This window comes from Homo sapiens, chromosome 12, assembly GCF_000001405.40.
Source record: "Homo sapiens chromosome 12, GRCh38.p14 Primary Assembly".
Lineage (NCBI taxonomy): Eukaryota > Metazoa > Chordata > Mammalia > Primates > Hominidae > Homo > Homo sapiens.
Window position 1 is genome coordinate 94437394 of NC_000012.12, and position 26096 is coordinate 94463489.

General features: G+C 38.7%; 1 protein-coding gene and 1 long non-coding RNA gene across 36 annotated transcripts in view, besides 2 other annotated features; one reads left to right on the forward strand and one right to left on the reverse strand.

Moving 5' to 3' along the window:
- CEP83 (centrosomal protein 83) overlaps positions 1–23061 on the reverse strand; it is a 194793-nt gene extending 171732 nt beyond the window's left edge. For 30 of the 35 annotated variants that reach the window (XR_007063082.1, XR_007063081.1, XR_007063083.1 and 27 more), the window contains exon 1: positions 22164–22474. The gene's annotated coding sequence lies outside the window, so the exon portion shown is untranslated. Of the gene's footprint in view, positions 1–22163; positions 22475–22806 lie in introns of those variants that run through there. The other 5 variants (NM_001368040.1, NM_001368038.1, NM_001368039.1 and 2 more) reach the window with 1 other exon arrangement.
- Positions 18402–18551: a silencer, noted in NCBI's record as "fragment chr12:94849571-94849720 (GRCh37/hg19 assembly coordinates)". NCBI's record gives its function as "represses an EF-1alpha promoter that drives an FKBP-Casp9 reporter gene in an ReSE screen in K562 erythroleukemia cells {active_cell/tissue: K562}" and the evidence as "EXISTENCE:reporter gene assay evidence [ECO:0000049][PMID:32094911]".
- Positions 22610–25177, forward strand: CEP83-DT (CEP83 divergent transcript). Its single transcript, NR_027035.1, has one exon. It is a non-coding gene; the product is annotated as a CEP83 divergent transcript (long non-coding RNA).
- Positions 22891–22940: an enhancer, noted in NCBI's record as "active region_6785". NCBI's record gives its function as "activates an Ori minimal core promoter by ATAC-STARR-seq in GM12878 lymphoblastoid cells {active_cell/tissue: GM12878}" and the evidence as "EXISTENCE:reporter gene assay evidence [ECO:0000049][PMID:35858748]".

Consider the following 26096-nt stretch of genomic DNA (forward strand, 5'->3'; position numbering starts at 1 on the left):
GGAAATTCATCACAAAAAGATCACCTAGGCACACAGTCATCAGGTTATCTAAAGTCAAGACAAAGAAAAGAATCTTAACAGCTGTGAGGCAAAAGCATTAGGTAACCTACAAAGGAAAACCTAACAGATTAACAGCAGATTTCTCAGCAGAAACCCTACAAGCTAGAAGGAATTGGGTCCTATCTTCAGTCTCTTTAAACAAAAAATTATCAGCCAATAATTCCATATCTAGCAAAACTAAATTTTATAATGAAAGAGCAATAGAGTCTTTTTCATACAAACGAATGCTCAGAGAATTCACCACTGCCAAGCCAGCACTACAAGAACTGCTAAAAGGAGTTCTGACTCTTGAAACAATCTCAAAACATCAAAATAGAACCTTTCTTAAAGCATAAATCTCACAAGACCTACAGAACAATAACACAATGCAAACAAAAAAAGGTAATTAGGCAGCAACTAGTATGATGAATAAAATAGTATCTCACATCTCAATACTGATGTTGAATGTAAATTGCCTAAATGTTCCACTGAAAAGATACAGAGGCCAGCACAGTGGCTCACACCTGTAATCCCAGCACTTTGGGAGGCCAAGGTGGGCAGATCACCTGAGGTCAGGAGTTCAAGACCAGCCTGGCCAACACGGCAAAAGCCCATCTCTACTAAAAATACAAAAAAATTACCCAGGCATGGTGGCAGGTGCCTGTAAACCCAGCTACTCGGGAGGCAGAGGCACGAGAATCGCTTGAACCCAGGGAGCAGAGGTTGCAGTGAGCCGAGATCATGTCATTGCACTCTAGCCTGGGTGACTGAGTGAGACTGTCCCAATTAAAAAAAAGAAAAAAAAAAAAGATGCAGAACAGCAGAATGGATAAAAATCTACCAAGTATCTGCTGCCTTCAAGAGACTCACCTAATACATAAGGACTCATATAAACTTATAAGGTAAAGGGGTGGAAAAAGATATTCCACGCAAATGGAAACCAAACGTGAGCAGGAACAGCTATTCTTATATCAGACAAAACAAACTTTAAAGCAACATCAGTTTAAAAAGGCAAAGATAGACATTATATAATGATAAAAGGATTAGTCCAACAGGAAAATATCACAATCCCAAAAACATATGCACCTAACACTGGAGCTCCGAAATTTATAAAACAATTACTACTAGACCTAAGAAATGAGATACATGGCAACAAAACAGTGAGAGACTTCAATACTCCACTAACAGCACTAGACAAGTCATTAAGACAGAAAGTCAACAAGGAAACAACAGACTATACCCTAAAACAAATGGACTTAACAGATATTTACAGAACATTCTACCCAACAATTGCAGAATATATTCTTTTCATCAACACATGGAACATTCTCCAAGATAGACCACAAAACAAGTCTCAATAAATTTAAGAAAATCAAAATTATATCAAATATTCTCTAAGATCACAGCAGAATAAAACTAGAAATTAACTCCAAAGGAAGCTTCAAAACTATACAAATATATGGAAATTTAAACCTGCTCCTGAATGACCTCTGGGTCAACAATGAAATCAAGATGGAAATTTTAAAATTCTTTGAACTGAACGATAACAGTGACACAACCTATCAACCCTCTGCAATACAGCAAAAACAGTGGTGCTAAGAGGAAAGTTCATAGCAATCACTGTCTACAACAAAAATTCTGAAAAAGCACAAATAGATTATCTAACCTCACAACTCACAGAATTAGAGAAACAAGAACAGACCAAACCAAAACCCAGCAGAAGAAAAGAAATAACAAAGATCAGAACTAAATGAAATTGAAACACAACAACAAGAACAACAACAAAATACAAAAGATAAATTAGACAAAAAGCTGGCTCTTTGAAAAGACAAAATCGACAGACCATTAGCGAGATTATCAAGAGAAGAGAGTAGATCCAAACAGCTCAATTAGAAACAAAATAGGAGATATCAAAAGTGATACCACAGAAATACAAAAGATTGTGCTTTTGTATGGCTACTATGAACATCTTTATGCACACAAACTAGAAAACCTAGAGGAGATGGATAAATTCCTGAAAAGATACAACCCTCCTAGATTAAACTAGGAAGAAATAGAAACAAACTGAACAGGTCAATAACAAGTAGCAAGATTGAAACAGTAATAAACAAAAAAAATGCCAACAAAAAAAAAAAAAGTCCAGGACCTGATGGATTCACAGCTGAATTCTATCAGACATTCAAAGAAGAATTGGTATGAATCCTACTGAAGCTATTCCAAAACACAGAAAAAGAGGGAATCCTCCCTAAATCATTCTATGAAGCCAGTATTATCCTAATAGCAAAACCAGGAAAGGACATAACAAAAAAAGAAAACCACACACCAATATCCCTGATGAACATAGATGCAAAAATCCTCAACAAAATACTAGCTAACCAAGTCCAACAGCATGTCAAAAAGAAAATACACCATGAACAAGTGGGTTTTATACCAGGGATGCAGGGTTGGCTTAACAAATGGAAGTCAATAAATGTAATACACCATATAAACAGAATTAAAAACAAAAACCACATCATCTCAACAGACGCAGAAAAAGCATGACAAAATTCAGATCCCTTTATGATTAAAACCGTCTGCAACATCGGCATAGAAGGGACATACCTTAAGATAATAAAAGCCCTCTATGACAAACCCACAGCCAACATTACACTGAACAGAGAAAAGTTTAAAGCATTCCCCCTGAGAACTAGAACAAGACAAGGATGTCCACTTTCACCACTTCTATTCAACACACTACTGGAAGTCCTAGCCAGAACAATCAGACAAGAGAAAGAAATCAAGAGCATCCAAAGTGGTAAAGATGAAGTCAAAGTGTTGCAGTTTGCTGATGATATGATCATATACCTAGAAAACCCTAAAAACTCATCCAAAAAGCTCCTATAACTGGTAAATGAATTCGGCAAAGTTTTAGGATACAAAATTGATGTACACAGATGAGTAGCTCTGCTGTATACCAACAGCCACCAAGCTGAGAACCAAATCAAGAACTCAACCCCTTTTACAATAGCTGCAAAAAATAAAATAAAATACTTAGGAATATACCTAACCAAGGAGGCGAAAAGACCTCTACAAGGAAAACTACAAAAAAAAAAAGCTGAAAGAAATCACAGATGACACAAATGGAAATATATCCCATGCGCATGGATGGGTAGAATCAATATTGTGAAAATGACCATACTGCCAAGAGCAATCTACAAATTCAATGCAATTCCCATCAAAATACCACCATCGTTCTTCACAGATCTAGAAAAAAAATCCTAAAATTCATATGAAACCAAAAAAGGGCCTGCAAAGCAATACTAAGCACAAAGAACAGATCTGGAGGTATCACATTACCCAACTTCAAACTATACCAAGGCTATAGTTACCAAAACAGCATGGTACTGGCATAAAAACAGGCACATAGATCAATGGAACAGAACAGAGAACCCAGAAACAAAGCCAAGTACTTACAGCCAACTGATATTTGACAAAGCAAACAAAAACATAAAGTAGAGAAACGACAACCTATTCAACAAATGGTGCTGGGACAATTGACAAGCCACATGTAAAAGAATGAAAGTGGAATCTCAACTCTCACCTTACACAAAAATCAACTCAAGATGGATTAAAGACTTAAATCTAAGACCTGAAACCATAAAAATTCTAGAAAATAATATCAGAAAAACTCTTCTAGACATTGGCTTAGGCAAAGAGTTCACGACCAAGAACCAAATGCAACAAAAATGAAATAAATGGATGGGACTTAATGAAACTAAAAAGCTTCTGCACAGCAAAAGAAATAATCAGCAGAGTGAACAGGCAACCCACAGAGTGGGAGAAAATATTCACAAACTATGCATCCCACAAAGGACTAATATCCAGAATCTACGAGGAACTCAAACAAATCTGCAAGAAAAAAACCAAATATTCCCATCAAAAATTAGGGAAAGGACATGAATAGACAATTCTCAAAAGATATACAAATGGCCAACAGACATATGAAAAAATGTTCAACATCACTATCAGGGAAATGCAAATCAAAACCACAATGCACTACCACCTTACTCCTGCAAGAATGGCCATAATTTAAAAATCAAAAAATAATAGATGGTGACAAGGATGTAGTGAAAAGGGAACACTTTTACACTGCTGGTGGGAAGGTAAACTAGTACAACCACTATAGAAAACAGTGTGGAGATTCCTTAACGAATGAAAAGTAGGCTGGGCGTTGTGGCTCACGCCTGTAATCCCAGCACTTTGGGAGGCCGAGGCGGGTGGATCACAAGGCCAGGAGATCAAGACCATCTTGACTAACATGGTAAAACCCCGTCTCTACTAAAAATACAAAAAATTAGCTGGGTGTGGTGGTGGGCACCTGTAGCCCCAGCTACTCGGGAGGCTGAGGCAGGAGAATGGTGTGAACCCAGGAGGCAGAGCTTGCAGTGAGCCGAGATCGCACCACTGCACTCCAGCCTGGGCGACAGAGCGAGACTCCGTCTCAAAAAAAAAAAAAAAAAAAAAAACTAAAAGTAGAACTACCATTTGATCCAGCAATCTCACTATTGGGTATCTACCCAGAGGAAAAGAAGTCATTATATGAAAAAGACACTTGAACATGCATGTTTATAGCAGCACATTTGCAACTGCAAAAATATGGAACCAGACTAAATGCCCATCAACCAATGAGTAGATAAAGAAAATGTGGTAGGTATATATATATATAATGCAATACTACTCAGCCATAAAAAGGAATGAAATAATGGCATTCACAGCAACTGAGATGGCATTGGAGGCCATTATTCACAGCAACCGAGATGGAATTGGAGGCCATTATTCTAACTGAAGTAACTCAGGAATGGAAAACCAAACACCGTATCTTCTCACAAGTGGAAGCTAAGCTATGAGAATGCAAAGGCATAAGACTGATATAATGGACTCTGGGGACCTGGGGGGAAGGAGGGAGGGGGGTGAGGGTTAAAAGACTACACACCGGGTGCAGTGTACACTGCTCAAGTGATGGGTGCAGGAAAATCTCAGAAATCACCACTAAATAAGTTATCCATGTAACCAAACACCACCTGTTCCCCCAAAACTATTGAAATAATGATTTTTTTTTTAGAAAAAACACGGAAAGAAAGGTTTCCCTGTTTCTTTCAGTCTTCACTTCTGAAGACTCATATAAAGTAAAGGTTTCATTAAATAAATGTGTATGCTTTCCTCTTGATAATCTGTCTTTTGTTATAGGGGTCTCAGTCATGAATCTAGTAATAGGTGAGGAAAAGTTATCACATTTTATCCGCTACATCAACTTAACAAAAATTCAGTTCATTAGGTTCAAATTTTCTACTTGTCTCCTTAAAAAAGTCAGTTACCACTATCCTCCTCTCATTTCCTAACCACTACCCATCCTCTATCCTCTATTTATAACAAATTAATCCTACTGATTCTTCTTCATCTGTTTGTTGAATTTAATCATTCTTCCCCATTTCTAGAGCCATCACACTCCAGTGCCGAATCTTAAATATTTTACACTTAACAGAAGCCTCCTAGACAGTGTCCCAGACTTTAGTATTTTCTCATTCTTACATAGCCTACAAATATCACCAAAACAATCTTTCTCATACATTGCCTTCGTCACTATAACTCCTATGATAATCCTTATTCTTTCCTGACTCAAATCTAAATTTCCCAGCTAAACTCACAGCCCCGTATTAGCCAGCTCCCTATACAAATTCAAACATTTTGCTGCCCCACAGGACCCCTTTGCTAGAGTCAATTAAGTTTACAGACCCCCAGGACCCCTTTGCTAGAGTCAATTAAGTTTACAGACCCTCAAACACATTTCTCTTTGCCTTCACAACTTTGTTCATACAGTTATGCCAAATTAAAATACCTTCTTAAACCTTGTCTATTAATCCACAAATCACAGAGTCAAACCTGAAACCCTACAGTCTGCAAAATCACAAAACTATTTTCGGAGTTTTAGTTGCTCTAAAAGTGAACAGAAAGAGTAGCTTTTGTCCATGTGCTTTATAGGTTCCTGCCTTCCTTGTGCTTGCCCCAGGATATTTATTCTATATAAACATATATTTTTTTGAGACAGAACCTCACCCTGTCACCCAGGCTAGAGTACAATGGCGCAATCTCAGCTCACTGCAACCTCCGTCCCGCGGGTTCAAGTGATTCTCCTGCCTCAGCCTCCCGAGTGGCTGGGATTACAGGCATGCACCACGCCCGGCTATTTTTTGTATTTTTAGAGATAGGGTTTCACCATGTTGGCAAGGCTGGTCTCGAACTCCTGACTTCAAGTGATCCACCCACCTTGGCCTCGCAAAGTGCTGGGATTACAGGCATGAGCCACTGTGCCCGGCCTAATTTATTCTATATTCTATAATGTCTGCACTTTTCCCCTCCAGATGCTTTATAACTATATAAACTACGTTTTCCAAAGAAACTATAAATTCCTCAAAGGAAAAACTACATATAATCTTCTACTGTTTTGTTCATCTTCATAGTTCCCAATTCCAGTAAACTGTTAATGACAGTAAAGTGATCCACAAAATTTCTATGATGTGAATCCTACTCTCCCATAGGCTTGTAATGTAATTTCAGAGAAACCTTGGGGAAGGATGTCACCAAGAACACTGTTTGCTAACCAATTATGCATGCGTTATAGTTAGTTATCAAGAAATTTCTACCTCAGGCCGGGCGTGGTGGCTCACGCCCGTAATTCCAGTACTTTGGGAGACCGAGGTGGGCAGATCACCTGAGGTCAGAAATTCAAGATCAGCCTGGCCAACGTGGTGAAACCCTTTCTCAACTAAAGATACAAAAATTAGCCAGGCATGGTGGCAAGCACCTGTAATCCCAGTACTCAGGAGGCTGAGAGAGGATAATCACTTGAACGTGGGATGCAGAGGTTCCAGTGAGCCGAGATCAGGCCATTGTACTCCAGCCTGGGCAACAAGAACAAAACTCCAACTCCGAAAAGAAAAGAAAAGAAATTTCTACCTCAAAAGTTAAAAATTCTGGAGGACAGTCTACTAAGCAAAAGCTTTCAAAATGAATATATCTTTTCATTTAGTAATTCTAATTTTAGGAATTAATCCTGAGAAACTAATTAGAGATGCACAAACATTTATGTTCAAGAATCTTCTTTTATTTGTCATTCAGTAAATGTTTACTGAGTGCATCCTAAATTCCAGGTAGGAATGGAGGATAGAATCAGTTCTTATCCTCATGGTACTAACTTAATAGTGGTGTTTACAATGGAAAAAGAGACTATTAAAAAAGCAGGTCATGGCCAGGTGTGGTGGCTCATGCCCGTAATCTCAGCATTTTGGGAGGTCGAGGTGGGAGGCTCACTTCACCCCAGGAGTTCAAGATCAGCCTGGGCAACATAGTGAGACTCTATATCTATTTTATAATTGTTTTTAAAAAGCAGGTTACAATAGCAAGAAATGCCATATTTGTGGATCAGAAAATTCAATATTGTTAAGATGTTAATTTCTCCCAAATTCAATGCAGTGTCATTCAAAATACCAAGTTTTCATAGAAATTAACAAGCTGATTCTAAAATTCATATGGAAACACAAGGGACCCAGAAGAGCCAAAAAAAAAACTTTGAAAAAGAACAAAGTTAGAAGACTTGCATTACCTGACTTCACTTATTAAAGTGCCATAGAAATGAAAACTATGTAGTATTAAATCAGTCACAAAAATCCATTAAACAAAAAAGACTGTCCAGAAATAGAGTCAAATAGAAACAGTCAATTGATTTCTGACAAAAATGCAGTCAATTCAGTGAAGAAAGGATAGTCTTTTCAACAAATGGTCCTGGAACAATTGCCTTTTCCATACACACACACACACACACACAAAGAACTTCAAGTTGCTCCCCACGCCATATACAAAAATAGGATCAAAATAAATCAGAGGCCTGAATTAAAAACCTAAACTATAAACCTCCTAAAAAAAAATACAGGAGAAAATCATTTTGATCTTGGGTTAAGACTTCTCAGATATAACACCAAAAGCACAGTCCATAAAAGAAAAAACTGACAAACTGGATTTCATCAAAATGAAGAACTTCAAAATCCACTACTCTTCAAAATCCACTGTTACATAAATGACAAGATATACCAGACTCAGGGGAAAAACTGCAAATCATAAATCTTATAAAGCACTTGCATCCAGAATAAAGAACTCTCAAAACTAAATGATAGGAAAATAAACAATCAAAATTTTTTTAATGGGCAAAACATTCAAATGGACACTTCACCAAAAAAGATTAAGTAAACATTTGTTTGTATTTTCCAAGTACTCCAGTTTCCTCTTCTCATATCCTAAAGATGTGCACATTAGATTCACTGGGAGATTGAAATTGTCCCAGTAGGAATGAGTATGGGTGTGTATTTAAGTGCACCACGCAATGGAATGTCATCCTGTCCAGGGTTGGTTCTGTGCCAGGATAGGCTCTAGCCACCAGAAAGCCTGAACCCTAGAGCAGGCTGGAAAATGAATGAATGAATGAATACAAATTATTGTAAAATGAAATTTCAAATAAAGTATATAATCATGTAAATGCATGACAATACTATGTAGTACAAAAGCACTCTTATCAAGCCTGCCATATTTGTGATTATTTTTGAACTGCATGATAGTAAGAGGTGTCCCTTATATTTTTTGCTTTGCAAACATTTATTTCTTGGGTTAACCCACCACCACTATGACCATTGTCACTCACTGGTTCACCAAAAATTAGGTAAGTAACTATCTTACTTGTTTTTTTTACTAATCTTTCTTAAACATTATAGCTCACATTTATTTCAACGTTTAATGTTGGAAGTGTCTTGGGTCTTTATTTAGAAGTTTGATGATGTTTTTTGACCAGAGATATGCCATAGGAATTTAACTATTGTTTTTATCAATTAGTCTAGGGTAAAGTTGGTTTCATGATACATCATTTCACTTAAAGTCAGTTTCCAAGAACCTATCAATAATGTTAAGTGACGGCCGGGCGTGGTGGCTCATGCCTGTAATCCCAGCACTTTGGGAGGGCAAGGCAGGCAGATCATGAGGTCAGGAGATCGAGACCATCCTGGCCAACAGGGTGAAACCCCATCTCTACTAAAATTACAAAAATTAGCCGGGTGTGGTGGTGCGCACCTATAGTCCCAGCTACTTGGAAGGCTGAGGCAAGAGAATCGCTTGAACCTGAGAGGTGGAAGCTGCACTAAGCTGAGATCATGCCACTGCACTCCACCCTGGCAAGAGAGCAAGACCCCACCTCAAAGAAAAAGAAAAATAAAAAATAATGTTAAGTGACGACATACTGTACACGAAATATGCAGTGGGAGTTCTAGAAGGTCAGTAAAGAGAGAAAGAGGCAGAAAAGAAGTTTTGAAGAAATAATCGCCAAAAACTTCCCTAATTTAATGAAAAACATTAATTGACACATCTAAACAGCCCAACAAATCCAAAGAAACCTGCAAATGCTGAAACACAAAGAGGAAATCTTTAAAAAGGAGCGAGAGAAAAATGACTTCACATACAGGGCAACAACAATATTATTAACGTTGATTTCTCATCAGAAATGACATGGAAAAAACAAATTTTTTTAAAGAAACACAAAAAACTCACCACTAAAAATTCTATATTCAGCAAAACTGCCCTTCAAAAATGAAGATGAAATAAAGACATTTTCAGATAGATAACCAAAGACGAAGACAAGTCGCTGCTGTGAGACATGCCTTATGAGAAATAACAATGGAAGTCCCTCAGGATAAAAGGAAGTCACACCATAAAGTTTAATCTAGGCTGGGCACAGTGGCTCATGCCTGTAATCCCAGCACTTTGAGAGGCCAAGGTGGGTGGCTCACTTGAGCCCAGAAGTTCGAGACCAGCCTGGGCAACATGGCAAAACCCCATCTCTACAAAAAATAGCCAGGTGTGGTGGCACGTGCCTGTAGTTCCAGCTACTTGAGAGGCTGAGGCAGGAGGATTGCTTGAACTGGGTAAGCGGTGGCTGCAGTGAGCCAAGATCGCACTATTGCACTCCAGCCTGGAAAACAGGAGAACCTGTCTGGAAAAAAAAGAAAAATAATACTCTACAGGAGAATGAAGCTCATTGGAAACTGTAATTACATCAGTAAATATTAAAGACTCTAAAAATATAATTATTTTCACTTCATCTCGTTTAAAGACATAAGACTACATAAAGGAATAATTATAGTACTGTGTCGCTGAGTTTGTAATACATACAGCTGTAATATATATAATAATAATAGCACCAAAAAGAGAAAAAACAGATAACACTGGAGGAAAGTTTCTATAATTTATCAGAATTTAGTATTATTCTGAAGGAGACTGTAATTAAGTTAAAAGGCATATTGTAATCCCTAACAATATAGCAAAAGAAATCAACAGAAATAAAAAGATACACTAAAGAATATTTAACACAGAAAGATGGTAAAGAAAAGAGGAAAAAGCAAAAAACAAATGAGACAAATAGAAAACAAATATGAAAAATGCAGATGTAAATCCAATAATATCAACAATTACATTACATGTGAATGAACTAAACACTCTATTCAAAGGGGGGATTATATTACAATGGATTACAAAACCTAACTATAGGCTGTCAACAAGAGATAAATCTTCAATTCAAAGACATAAACAGGTTAAAATTAAAAGGATTTTTTTAAAAAAATACACCATAGAAACAGTAACCACAAAAAAAACTAGAGTGGCTATAGTACCAAGAAAAATAGATTTTAAGATAAGAAATATTACAGACAAAGGAGGCCATTTCATAATGAAAACAGGGTCACTATATCAGGAAGATATAACAATAACTGTCCATCTAACCAAAGAACCCCAAAATACATGAAGCAAAAAAAGAGATAATTAAAAAGAGAAATAGGTAATTCAACAGAAACAGCTGAAGACTGCAATGACTGATAGAAAAAGACAGAAAATCTGCAAGGATATAGAAGTCTTGACTAACCTCATCAATAAACTTGACATAACTGACAGAAAATACCACCCAATGATTGCAGAATATACAACCTTTTTACAAACACAAGGAAAATTTTCCAGGATACACCACATACTGGGGCACAAGACAAGTCTCAATAAAATTTAAAAGATTGAACTCATAAAAAATGTGTGATCTGATCACAATGGAATTAGTCATCCGAACAAAAATAAATCTAGGAACACCTCAATTATTGGTAAATTTTAAAACATACCTCTAAATAACCCATTGATCAAAGAAGAAATTGCAAGGAAAAATTTTAAAATATATTTCGAATTGAATGAAAACAAAACACAGCAAACCAAAATGTACAGAATGCAACTAAAGCAGTGCTTAGAAGGAAATGTATAGTTTTAAACATTTATATGAGAAAAGAAAAAAGGTCTCAAACCAATAATCTAAGCTTCCATCTTAGGAAACTAGAAAAATAAGGAGCAGAGGGGATATTAAACCCAAAACAAGCAGAAAAATAATAATTTTGTAGTGTGGAAATCAGTGAAATAGAAAATATAGATATGAAAAATAATCAGTGAAATAAAAGGTTGGTTCTTTGGAAAGATCAACAAAATCGAAAAAAAAAAAAAAACTTCACTATACTGACCAAGAAAATAAGAGATACAAATTACCAAAATCAAGAATGAAAGAGGGAAAATTATTGCCAACCTTAAATTATTAAAGGATTTCTTAATACAAACTTCGTATCAACAAATTAGATAATTTATATGAAATGGACTACACTTCCTAGAACATACAAATTACCAAAACTCTAGAAGAAAGAGAAAATCTGAATAGACCTATAACAAGAAGTGAAGAAACTGAACCAATAATTTTAAATATTCCCACAAAGAAATGGCCAGGCCCCCACAACTGCACTAATGAATGCTATCAAACATTTAAAGCAGTAAGAGCAAGATCACGAGCAACCAACAGACTAATATCCCTCAGGAACATATACCCAAAATTCCTTAATAATAATCAGACAAACCATATTCAACAACATATAACAGAGATTATACAGCACGGACTGGGCATGGTGGCTTAAGCCTGTAGTCCCAGCACTTTGGGAGGCCACGCAGGTAAATCGCTTGAGCCAAGGAGTTCAAGAACAGCCCAGGCAACATGGCAAAACCCTGTCTCTACAAAAAATACCGAAAAAAAAAAAAAAAGAAAAATAGCCAGGTGTGGTGGCATGAGCCTGTAGCCCCAGCCACTTGGGAGGCGGAAGCCGGAGAATCGCATGAGCCCAGGAGTTTGAGGCTGCAGTGAGCCAAAATCACACCACTGCACTTCAGCCTGGGTCACAGAGCAAGAGTCTGTCTCAAACAATAAAAAAAAAAAAAAAAAAAAAAAAAAAAAGATTTTACAGCATGACCAAGTGTGATCTGTCCCAGGAATACAGGGTGGGTTTAATCTCCAACAATCAATTAATATATAGCATACTAACAATAAAAATCATATAACCATATCATCAGATGCAGGAAAAAACATGACAAAATCTAACACCCACTCATGATTAAAAACTTGCAACAAACTAGGAACATAAGGGAGCTTCCTTAACCTTCTTCAAAGGGCATCTATAGAAAATCTACAGCTAACATTATACCTGATGGCAAAAATCTGCATGTTTTCCCCCTAAGACTGGGAGTAATGCAATGCACATTCAACACTTCTCTTCAACATCTTACTGGAGGGTCTAACCCAAGAATTAAAGCAAAAATGAAGAAATAAATAACATTGAGATTGGAAAGAAAAAGTATCGTTTTGAGACATGATCATCTATGTACAAACAATATGCAAAAATTGGTTGCATTTTTTTTTAGACAGATTCTCGCTCTGTCTTCTAGGCTGGAGTGCAGTGGCACAATCTCAGCTCACTGCAAGCTCCGCCTCCCGGGTTCACGCCATTCTCCTGCCTCAGCCTCCCGAGTAGCTGGGACTACAGGTGCCCGCCACCACTCCCAGCTAACTTTTTTGTATTTTTAGTAGAGACGGGGTTTCACCGTGTTAGCCAAGATGGTCTCGATCTCCTGACCTCGTGATCCACCTGCCTTGGATCCCAAAGTGCTGGGATTACAGGCGTGAGCCACCAAGCCTGGACGATTGCATTTTTTTGTGCTAACAATGAACAATTTGAAATCAAATCATGAAAACTCCATTTCCAAGAGCATCAAAATTATAACAGTCTTAGGAATAAATTTAACCAAATAAGTGCACGATTTGTACACTGAAAAGTAAAAAACATTATTAAGAGAAATGAAAGATCTAAGTAAATGGAGAGATATTACATGTTCATGGATTGGAAGACTCAAGATGGTTAAGTTAGTGATTCTTCCCATATTGATGGATAGATTCAATGCAAATCCTACAAACATCAGATGTGTTTTTGTAGAAATTAACAAGCTGATCCTAAATTGTATATGGAAATGGAAAGAGCATAGAACCAATTTTGAAAAAGAAGAAAATGTTACACTACTTATTTTGAAACTTACTATAAAACTGCAGTAATCAAGACAGAATAGTGTTGGAGTAAGGATAGGTTTATAGACATGAGTCTTGGAATAAATTCTTACATTATAGTCAACTGATATTTTACAAAGATGCCAATACAATTGAAGGGAAAAGAACAGTCTTTTTAACAAATGGTACTGGATAATTTGGCATTCACATTTTTAAAAAATGAACTTAGATCCTCTTCTTACATCAAATGCACGGTTAATTCAATATGAATCTTATATTTAAAGGAAAGAGCTCAAAGAAGACCTTTGGGAGCTCAAAGAAAAATCTTTGGGACCTTGGATTAGGCAAAAAGTTCGTATACATAACATGAAAGTACGTGCCACACACACAAAAGAAATGACTTCATTAAAAACTTTTGCACTTCAAAAGACAACAGTAAAAATATGAAAAGCCAAGACACCAACTGGGAGAAATATTTGCAAATCTTATCTCTGATATTAAAAACAATACAAACTTTCATCCAGCATATATAAAGAACTCTTACAACTCAGTAAGACCAAAAAAAAAAAAAAAAAAACCCAGCTAAAAAATGGGCAAATGCCTTAAACAGATATTCCACCAAATGGCCAATAACCACAGAAAAAGGTGTCCAACATTACTGTGCAGGGAAATGCAAATTAAAATTACAATGGGATACTACTAGATACTAACTAGAATGGCTATAATTAAAAAGATAATACCAACTGTTGGTGAGGATGTGGAGAAACTGGAATCATCATACATTGCTGGTAGGATGTAATTGGTACAGCTACTTTGGAAAACATTTTGACAGTTTCTTTAAAAGTTAAAAATAAGCTTACCATATAATTCAACAATTCCACTCCTAGGAATTTACCCAAAACAAATGAATACATATGCTCACACAAGGAATTACAGACAAATCTTCATAGCAGCATTATTCATAACAGCCAAAAACTGGAAACCATCCAATGTCTATCACCTAGTGAATGGGAAATACTATTCACTGGTTACCAGTAAATGGGAAATACTATTCACCAATACTATTCAACTGGTGAATGGAAAATACACACGAATACTATGCAACAATTAAAAAGAACAAAACATTGATATACATACATTAAATAAACCTCAAAAGCATGAAGTTAAAGAAGCCAGATGCAAAAGACTACTGTATTGATTCCATTTATATGAAATATGTAGAAAAGACAAATTTATAGTGATAGAAAGTAGATCAGTGGTTCTCTGGGGCTGTGGGAAGGAGTTACCTTAAATGCAAATAAGCTTGAGAGAATCTAGGAGACTGATAAAATGTCAGAAATTGCCTTGTGATGACAGTCGCACAACTCTATAAAGTTGCTAAAAACCATTAAATTGTACACTTACAATGAGTGGTTTTTATGGTAGGTAAAATATATCTCAATAAAGCTGTTTAAAAAGGGCTAGGTAGAAGAAAGAAGTTATCTCTTCCAAACTTTGGAAAATTTGTTGATAGTTGTAGTAATCAAGGCTGAGTTCAAAGGATGACCAAGCAAAAAGAATCCAGGTTCTTAAAGATTATCACTAAGCCACTTAATTGACAATCTTAGAACCACCTATCTCCAGACTTCTTACATGTGAGATAATACAATTTCCTTCTTAAGGCTTTAAAAAAGAAAAAGAAAAAAGAATAACGTTGCTAATTCTAAGGGACACAGGACATGTTCATTCCATTACAGAAAATTTGTAATATCATCCATAGAGGAAGATATCAAAGAAAAGGCAGGAATTTTGGTGGATCTTGAAGGATGAAAGAATATGACGGGGGATGGGGAAGGAAAAGAAGGGTATGTAGTTCAGAAGAGTCATTAATAATGGCAAGGATAAAAATCAACAATGCCCACTAAAAGTCAAGTTTACAGCTTACCTTATTTTAATCCATACATTAAGGACCAAAAAATTAAGTAACTGGTTCAAAAAGTTACGCAGCTAGTAATCTAACCTTCACTCTCAGGATCCAGGCTCCAAAGTACATACTCTTTCCTCTGTTACGCTGCTAAACAAGGACTTAAACTACCCCCATTTGCAAGTTCAGATCTTTGTAGAGGGCATCTTTATTTAGATAGGTTTACATTTATAGGACTACACACTCAATGTTTCTTGAGCAACAATTTCCATTTAATCAATAAACTAAATGTGATGTGCATTCTTTCTTTGGTTTCCAAAACGTTACCCTACTCTGGTTTTCCTACCTTCTTTCTCCCCCTTCCTATTACATGCTGGTGTTCACAAGCTCTCTTCTGATTCTACACAACTCTCACTAGGAACCTCATCTATACCTGGTATTTCAACTACCACTAACGTTGATGACTCTTCTCTCTCTCCAACTTCAAGAATTGTTTTCCTAGTTTTCTTTGACTAACTTCCTCCGGGCCAAGTTGAATACTGCTCTGTACACCCTACAACTACACTTACAAGATTCTAAAGAGACATTCCTCAATTTTTGTGTATTCTTTCTAGTTCTAGGCCAGGTATTCTTCCTACATGCCCCAAAACACATTCTTATCTATCCTTATAGCATTTAACATGCTTTATTACAAATTACTAATTACTTTGTCCATTTCTCCCATCAGAGAATAAGGTGCTTGAGACTTAGCACTATGTCTTATTCACAATCTCCCCAGTGCCTAGCATAGCATGAGACACATAATAGGCACTCAAATATTGATTAAACCCATATATAAGAGAAATAAAATTTGCTTTAAATTGGAAGCATACCATTTCTGAAGGAAACTTTCAGAGATTTATGTTTTCAAATGAGAAAATAGGCCATGAAAGGTGAAGTGACTCACCCAGTCAAGCCTTGGTCTCCTGAATCACAATTCTCTTCCCACAAAATTACAGTGCCTAGGCCGGGCGCAGTGGCTCACACCTGTAATCCCAGCACTTTGGGAGGCCAAGGCAGGTGGGTCATAAGGTCAGGAGATCAAGACCATCCTGGCTAACATAGTGAAATTCCGTCTCTCTTAAAAATCAAAAAATTAGCTGGGCATGGTTGCATGTGCCTGTAGTCCCAGCTACTTGGGAGGCTAAGGCAGGAGAATCGCTTGAACCCAGGAGGCAGAGGTTGCAGTGAGCTGAGATCACACCACTGCACTCTAGCCTGCTGACAGAGTAAGACTATGTCTCAAAAAAAAAAAAAAAAATTAGAGTACCTATTAAATTGTGCTTAGTGATCTCAGCTTTCTATGAAGCTCTAGAAGTAATACAAAAATGTTATAAAGAACCATTTCAACTTCATCCACTCCAGCTCTGGCTGGCTATATCAGTTGTAGAGAAGTCTGTTATTACATAATACTTTTTCTGCCCAGAATAATCTTTAATTGAACCAGTATTTTCACGTGTCCTTCACACAAAAAATAATTCAATACATACTTATTGAGACATGAAGCCAGCTGGGATTCTGGGTCCGGTGTGGACTTGGAGAACTTTTCTGTCTAGCTAAAGGATTGCAAATGCACCAATCAGCGCTCTGTGTCTAACTAAAGGTTTGTAAACGCACCAATCAGCACTCTGTAAAAACGGACCAATCAGCACTCTGTAAAATGGACCAATCAGCTCTCTGTAAAATGGACCAATTAGCAGGATGTGGGTGGGGCCAAATAAGGGAAGAAGAGCTAGGCACCTGAGCCAGCAGCAGCAACCCACACGGGTCCCCTTCCATGCCGTGGAAGCTCTGTTCTTTTGCTCTTCGCAATAAATCTTGCTGCTGCTCACTCTTTGGGTCCACACTGCCTTTATGAGCTGTAACACTCACCACGAAGGTCCGCAGCTTCACTCCTGAAGCCAGCGAGACCACGAACCCACCGGGAGGAATGAACAATGCCGGACGCGCCACCTTTAAGAGCTGTAACACTCACTGCGAAAGTCTGCAGCTTCACTCCTGAAGCCAGCAATACCACGAACCCACCGGGAGGAATGAACAACTCCGGACGCGCCACCTTTAAGAGCTGTAGCACTCACTGCAAAAGTCTGCAGCCTCACTCCTGAAGTCAGCAAGACCATGAACCCACCAGAAGGAAGAAACTCCGGACACATCTGAACATCTGAAGGAACAAACTCCGGACACACCATCTTTAAGAACTGCAACATTCACCACGAGGGTCCGCAGCTTCATTCTTGAAGTCAGCGAGACCAAGAACCCACCAGAATGAACCAATTCCGGACACATTATCATGCATCTCTATGTGGAAAACAATGTGAAAGAAGTTATAATTCATCAGTACTCTAAAAAATATCCTTAAGAGCATATATTGCATGCCCCTTAAGTTTAACAATATCTGAAATAGCTGCCTTAAAACAAAATGCAATCACACTTGAGAGAGGCTGAATATGAACATCAGAGATAGGCAATGCAACTTCATCAGGAAAATCCCTATAGTCCAATGCTACTGTTTTCAAGGGTTGCTATATTATACTGCAATTGTGTTACTGGGCAACAACTCAGAAGCTAGAATGGCAAATTCACTCAAGAAGTAACTGAATCAAACGAATATTTATGAAAGCATTCTGAGACTCAACTTCACTTTCTATATCTTCAACTGAAGTAACTCTTTGTTATAAGCATTAGATACAGGATTTTTGGTGAGACTGTAAAAACTACATGGACATTTTATAGACATATTTTGAGACAGAAGATAGGTGCTTTCCAAAAGGGAATGGCCAGGTTTAGGTTCCTACTAACTCTGAATTTTAATCCAAAAGCAATCTGAAGTCACAATATACAGAAGGCAAATAACTGGGCATTTCCTTAATTTCTTCCATCCTGGATTATAGCTCAGTTAAAAGAAATAGTAGGCCGGGCGCATTGGCTCACACCTACAATCCCAGCACTTTGGGAGGCCAAGGTGGGTGAATCACTTGAGGCCAGGAGTTCCGAGACCAGCCTGGCCAATGTGGTGAAACCCTGTCTCTATTCAAAATACAAAAAAAAAGCCAGGTGTGGTGGCATGCACCTGTTAGCCCCAGCCACTTGGGAGGCTGAGGCAGGAGAATCACGTGAACCCACGAGTTCAAGGTTGCAGTGAACAAAGATTGCACCACTACGCTCCAGCCTGGGCGACAGAGCAAAACTCCATCTCAAAAAAAAAAAAAAGAAAAAAGAAATAGTACTAGACTTGACAGTCAGTGATCTCTCCATGACCTAGAGAGGGCAGTCCTGATGAAAAAAATATAATTAATAAACTGATATTCTACTAGGAACCAGGAAATTGACCAAACTCCCCAAGCCCACTGAAGAATAGTGCCAGCATTCCTGAGAGTCCTTACTGCTGGTATTGCCATGGGAAATTCTCAAATACTCACTTTCTAGGAACAGAATCTTTATTTCTGATTCCGTGAATTCCCACTCTTCAATCTTTTTTATAGTTTACTGTTGCCATTTCCCCTTCACTTACTCTCTTCTCTCAACAACCTTACTTTCATGATACTTACAAAAGTGGGGGAAAGTAGAAATGCCTATCTGTCATTGTATTAGTCCATTTTCATATTGCTATAAAGAACTGCCTGAGATTGGGTAATTTATAAAGGAAAGAGGTTTAATTGATTCACAGTTCCACATGGCTGGAGAGGCGTCAGAAAACTTACAATCATGGCAGAAGGTGAAGGGGAAGCAAGGCACCTTCTTCACAAGGTAGCAGGAAGGAGAATGAATGCAGGAGGAACTACCAAACACTTATAAAACCACCAGATCTCATGAGAACTCACTGTCACGAGGAACAGTATGGGGGAAACCGCCGCCATGATCCAATTCCCTCCACCTGGTCTCTTCCCTGACACATGGGGATTATGGGGATTATAATTCAAGGTGAGATTTGGGTGGGGACACAAAGCCTAATCATATCAGTCATCTTTAAGAAACATTTATTCAGCAACTTGTATTTGGAAAAGACTAAGGATACAGCTCATCGAGATCTGAAGTCCTGCCCTTAATAAGCTTACAATCTAGTTAGGAAGTCAAGAAAGCTAAAATAATACAATAAAAAGTATAAGTATCAAATAAATTTAACTCACAAATACATACTATTCCTATGTATGTATGTATGAGGTCATGGTGGAGTTGAACCTTATAGAAAAGGTACAATTTAGATTTTAAGAAAGAAGGGAATAAGATCAGGTCACGGGGGATAGAAAGATATGCAGACTAATATGGAAAGGATAAAGTACAGAGCAGGTTTAGGGGATAGTGAAGAAACCAATCTGGGCAGAGACACCTTTTCCATAAAGAACATACACTTGAAAAGGCAAGGTGAGAGGATTTCAAATAATTCACCTTAAGTCAAGAAACATGAACTTGGGTTAAAAGGAAGTTTTTTACACAGATTTACACACATTCCCTAAAAGCACATAGGTTAAACAATGTGGGCAATTTACTTATGGAACCTAATATGTATGACAAAATTAAAAGCAAGCTCATCTACTTTTAGGCAAAGAGACAGTACCTGGGGGTGGGGAAATTCTGACAATTCACTAAAATTCACTAATCTTTCTGTTAAGATTTCACTCTAAGCTTCTTGAATTAGAACATCCCATGACATAATGCTGATTTCTGATTACTAAGGATTATACGAGTCATTCTTGATTTGTCTCCTCCATCTTGCCCAACTTTTGAATATTTCATTACTTCAACATCAGCATATAGAAAAAAGGAGGAGAGAACTAAAATTAAGTCCATGGATTTTAGCAATACATAAGGGTATCTGACATAAAGAACATTAAACTTCAAGTTCCAATTCCCATTATTAATAGATTTCAAAGAAGTCATTTAGTCTCATCATGTCTCAAATTTTCTCACATACTTGCTTACTTGAAAGGTTATTGATTGAAAAGATCATTCAAAAAGTGCTCTAAAAACTAACAACTTGCCATAAAAATTTTATCATTAAGGGTTCAATAAGAGGAGACAGTGAGGTGACTGGTAAACCAAGGATTAAAAACTACCTGTGAATAGGCCAGGCACGCTGGCTCACACCTGTAATCCCAGCACTTTGGGAGGTCAAGGTGGGCAGATCGCCTGAAGTCAGGAGTTCGTGACCAGCCTGGGCAATATGGTGAAACCCCATCTCTACTAAAAATACAAAAATTAGCAGGGCATGGTGGCATGCACCTGTAACCCCAGCTACTCGGGAGGCTGAGAGGAGAGAATCACTTGAAACTGGGAGGCGGAAGTTGCAGTGAGCTGAGATCCCACCACTGCACTCCAGCCTGAGCGACAAGAATGAAACTCTGTCTCAAAAAAAGAAAAAAAAAAAAACTACCTGTGAATAATCAGTGTTTCATTCTCCCAGTGCTGCATGGAATTCTAAATTGTATTTCACTATTATTTGAGAATGTTCTAAATACAGTCCGCGCACTTCATCTGATCTGGAAAGAAAACACTCAAAGTAAGGGGAATACCCAGCATACTCTGTCCTAAATAACCAAAGGACAACTCAAAACCATTTGCAACTCTCAGGAGAGTCCTGTGTGACACTTATAATTTAAAGCATTCTGGCCTGGTGCGGTGGCTCACACCTGTAATCCCAGCACTTTGGGAGGCCGAGGTGGGCGGATCACCTGAGGTCGGGAGTTTGAGACCAGCCTGGCCAACATGGTGAAACCCCATCTCTACTAAAATAAAAAAATTAGCCGGGCATGGTGGCACGCACCTGTAATCCCAGCTACTCGGGAGGCTGAGGCAGGAGAATCGCTTGAACCCAGGAGGCGGAGGTTGCAGTGAGCCGAGATCGCGCTACTGCACTCCAGCCTGGGCGACAGAGTGAGACTCAGTCATAAATAAATAAATAAAGCATTCTAACAATTCTGAACAAACTGAGTTTGAAATCAAACCTCAATACAAAAGGTGAGTATTAATTCTAACCACTTACAGGCTAAATTCATAAATATGGAAAATTCTAAATCCAGGTAACTGTAGGATAGATACCTTTAATTGTGTTTTAGTTAAATGTCAGACTTGTTTACAGACATGTTGCTTGGTAACAGAAGCACTGCTTTAACAACCCACTCTGTTTTAGAGCTGCTTAAAGTCTGAACAGATTATGAAGTATATATCATATACACGAAATTCAGACAAGTCTTTCCTTATCCTAGAGATCTGTAAGATTTGAAAGAGCTTCCTCATTTCAGCTAACTAAAGGCTTTACAAATACTTAGCAGTGGATATTCTTAAGAGCAAAATGCCCATTGATTATGGTCAAAAGTTGGACACTGAGGATTAACCAAAGTATTTAAACCCAGCATATGCTAACATATTTTAGGTGTTTATCTCAGTAATGACAGTCGACATCACTGTTCATTCAAATTGTCTTCAAAGCCAAGGAAAATGGTAGCATAGCTTTTTCATCGTAAATTAAGCTGGAGGTACTTAAACGTCTGGCCAATTACCAAACTGGCTACACAACCACCAAGCCAGAGTGCATCCAAAAGCTCCATGAAGAGTTTCACGTGCGTCTCTCTGCCTACTTTTCTAGCACGAGCTTCCACTACTTTAACAGGAAAATAAAAAAAGGATTCAAGGGCAGTTTGTGGAGGGACAAAATGAGTATTCCAAAATACAAACAAGACACCGTCCCCAGAAAGAGAGGTTACATACCAGACGCACGCACGCTCCTTGCAACCCGCACACGGAAAACTTAAGTGACCGCAGTTCTGGCCGCGCTCGCCACCGGGGACACCTCCACAGCTCCAACCACAGGCACCCACTCAACTCCGCTTACGGAGGCATTGGGACTAAGGGTTACGGTCCTACAGCGGGGTGTCGGCCCAGCGAGAGGAAGAGGGCCGAACGGACCCCTCGGGCTCCCGTCCCTAGGGAAATGTGAAGTATCCCGGGAGAGGTCCGAGGGCGGCGGCGGCGGCGGTGAAAAGCCCCACTCCTCCGCGTGGACCGGGATCCTCAGGGGTGCGGCGCCACCCCACGTGCTGACGTATGGCCCAGAAGCCGCCTCATCGCACCGCCCCACCAGCCTGGAGGAGCGGGCTCTGTCCCTTGGCCCAGCGGCACGCGAAGCAGGAAGTCCCACCCCCCACGCCGACGTCACCCACGCCACCGACGCCGGTTGCTGCCGGAGCCGTTAGAGGGAGGAGACAAACGAACCGAGGCGGGAGCGGCCACGGGTGACAGCGGCAGCGGCGGGGCCGGGCTGCGCTCCCGAAGGCGTTCCTGGAGGGCCCTGGGATGGACTCAGAGATCCCCAGAGCCCCAGGGGACGGAAAATCTAGCCCCGGGCACTTGCCTTGGAGTCTGAGTGATGCGCGTCGTTGGAGCGCGAAGCCGGTCTCCCTAGCCTCCGCCCGACACAGCGTCTCCAGGGGTTTTCCTCCTTTTCGCGCCTCTCCTTCCCTCTTCCCCACACCATTTGAGAGCCTCAAATGGTAGTCCTGCCGCCACCTCTCTCCCTTCGCCAGCCTGCCATCGTCCCCATGGGTGCAGATATGCGCTCCCGAAGCCGCCTGCCTGCCGCGTCTGCCTCGGGCATCAGCCCACGAGTGGGGAGTCGGCTCAGCTTGCCACGAGGGAACCTCGGGTTAGGACCAATCGCCCGGGAGAGAGCCCTCCTCGCCCCCGCACCTCCTGCTCCAAGTCTCCTGTCCTGGTTATCCCAAGTTCAGGGCCCACCTGGGGTCACATGGGGAACTACTTGTCTTAAGGCTGTAAACAATAGTTGGAAGAGGAGTTGCTAGCTTTTGAGAACTTCCATGATCATCCAAAGTCTGAAACAAAGTAGGCGGTCAGCCTTTCAAAATACGTGTTGGAAGAAACAGACACCTTCCCATCCCCAGCGTTTGTTCAGTGCCTTGGTTGGGCTTTGATTCTCACTGCTTTGTGAAGTACAGCTTATTTTTACCCCCAAGATTATGATTTTCAGGCTGTAGTTATTATTGGACAACTGAGAGGTGATTTTGTTGTTGTTGAAATGAGGGAAAACGGGCCATTAGAAAGGACCGTGTCTCTTAAGAGGAGGGAAAAAAAGGACAGCGAGTTGGTAATGGAATGTTGCTGGATGGATTACATAGATGAGACATGGGAGATAGAATAGAGAATCCAGAAATTCTCATGTATGTGTGCGTGTTTAGTATAATAACAGTAGCTCACATTTGCTGAGCATTTGTGTGGCAAGTACTGGAGTACTTTTTCAGGTTATCTTATTTAACTCTAACATTTCTGTAAGGTAGGTGCAATTGTTATCTCCATTTCACAGAGTTGCCCAAAACCATTACTTTTAAACGCTGGAGCCAGACAACTCCAGAAATCTCTGTGGTAGCCAGTAAACTATACATGACAAATTATTGGTCAGTAGGAAAAAGATCATTCGGGAAATGGCGGTGGCTCACGCCTGTAATCCCAGCACGCTGGGAGGCCAAGGCAGGTGGATCACCTGAGGTCAGGAGTTCGAGACGACCCTGGCCAACATGGTGAAATCCCATCTATTAAAAATACAAAAAGCCAAGAAAAACAAATATTCAATTAACAAACGGAAAGTTGTCCCACTTCCAAACAGTTGTTTTTTGTCTATCATTGTTGATAGGGGTGTGGGATACAATTACTGTCAGGCATTTTTGGTGTGAAGGTGAAATTGGTACAACCCTATTTACCAAAATTTAACATATGCATTAGCCTTTGCCCCACAGCTGTCTCATTTCCGAGGCATATACCCTAAGGAAAATAAGGGATTCATAAGGATACTATTTGCCACCTTTTTTAAAAATAATGCTTCTAGAAACAAGTGTCCATCACTAGGACACTAGTTAAGAAAATTATGATTGGTACATGCAATGGAATACTCTTGACCCATTAAAAACTGATGGAAAGTTCTTTATTTGCATTAAAGTATGTCCAAAAAATATAGTTTCCCCTCAGGAAAAAAAAAGCAGAATGTAGTTTAGCAAGTACAGTGCTGTCCTAATGTGAATATATGTGTGTACATATGTTAATATAAGTGTACAAAAATATCTGGAAGAAGGTCAGTCAAAATACAAGTGTTTTACATTTTGTCTTTTGGACTTTTTATCTGGTTGGTGTTTTTTGTAATTTATTATTTTACAAAAACAAAGTTGTGTTTTATGTTTTAATTAAAGCTGTGCCAGTGAAAAGGGAGCCAGTTGACTCTTGACCTTCACAAGTAGGTAACCATGATGAAGTAACTATGTCTGGGGATCTGAGTCTCAGCTTTTTTGTGTCTATAAATTTGATTATATTCATTTACCTATAGTTGGACAAGCTAACCTACCACCTGGACATCATAGTTTTGACTCCCCAAATTGGACTGGGTATCCATTCTATGTGTTCTCTGTGTGCCTGTCATGGTATTTGTCACACTGTACTGTAATTCCCTCTGTGCCAGTAGATTGTTTGCTCCTGCCATACATATACACATGCACATACATACTTTTTCTGCTATATGTTACACATTTCTTTTGATTTATTATTTGTCATCTACATTTGTATACAGAAGTTTTAATTTTCATTAGCCAAAATGCTAATGAAATCACATAGATATTAAAGGGATACTTGGAACAACTTTATGCCAATAAATTCAGTAACTTAAGCAAAATGGACAAATTCCTAAAAAAATAAATAAATAAATTACCAAAAATGACACAAAAGAAGGAAAAGAAAATCTAAATGTTTCAGTGTCTGTTAAAAAAATTGAATTTATAAGCAAAACACTTGCCACAAAGAAAACTCCGGGCAGATGACTGCACCAGTGAATTTTATCAGACATTTAAGGGGGACAAAGTACCAATCCTACACCATTTCAGGAAACAGAGCAGGGAGAAATACTTCTATACTCATTTTATGAGGCAAGCATAATCATGCCAAATTATTTTTCCTGATACCAAAATTTGACATTTTGCAAGAAAATTATAGACTGATAGTCCTCATGAATATATATATATATATAAATTCTTAAGTATTAGCAGATTGAACTTGCAATATAGAGGATTACATACCATGACCAAGGAGAGTGAACTTAACATTGAAAAATCAGTGTAATTCATCACATTAACAGAACAAAAGAGAAAAAAAATTGTTTCAATAAATGCAGAAAAAGGATTTGACAAAATTCAAAGCCCATTAATGTTTTAGAAAAAAAAAAAAAAACCAACTCTAAGCAGCCTAGGAATAGAAGGGAATTTCCTCAATGATTTGAAAAAGTTAATGGTGAAATATTAAATCATTTTCTCCTAAGATCAGGAATAACAAATGTAAGACAAGAATTTTCTGCTCTCACCGCTTCTATTTAGGAAATTGGAGGCCCTAATCAATGCAAAAAAGCAATAAGAAAAAGCGTAAAGACTGGGAAGACTCAGATATCCTGATTTCAGAACTTGCTATGAAGCTACAGTAATCAAGATAGTACTATACTCTTATAAAGATAGGAGTACAGATCAATGGAATATAATTGAGTCCAGAAATAAAGCCTTATATTTATGGTCAGATGACTTTCAGCAAAACACCAATACAACTCAATTGGAGAAAGAGTAGTCTTTTCAACAAATGGAACTGGTAAAACTGGATAGC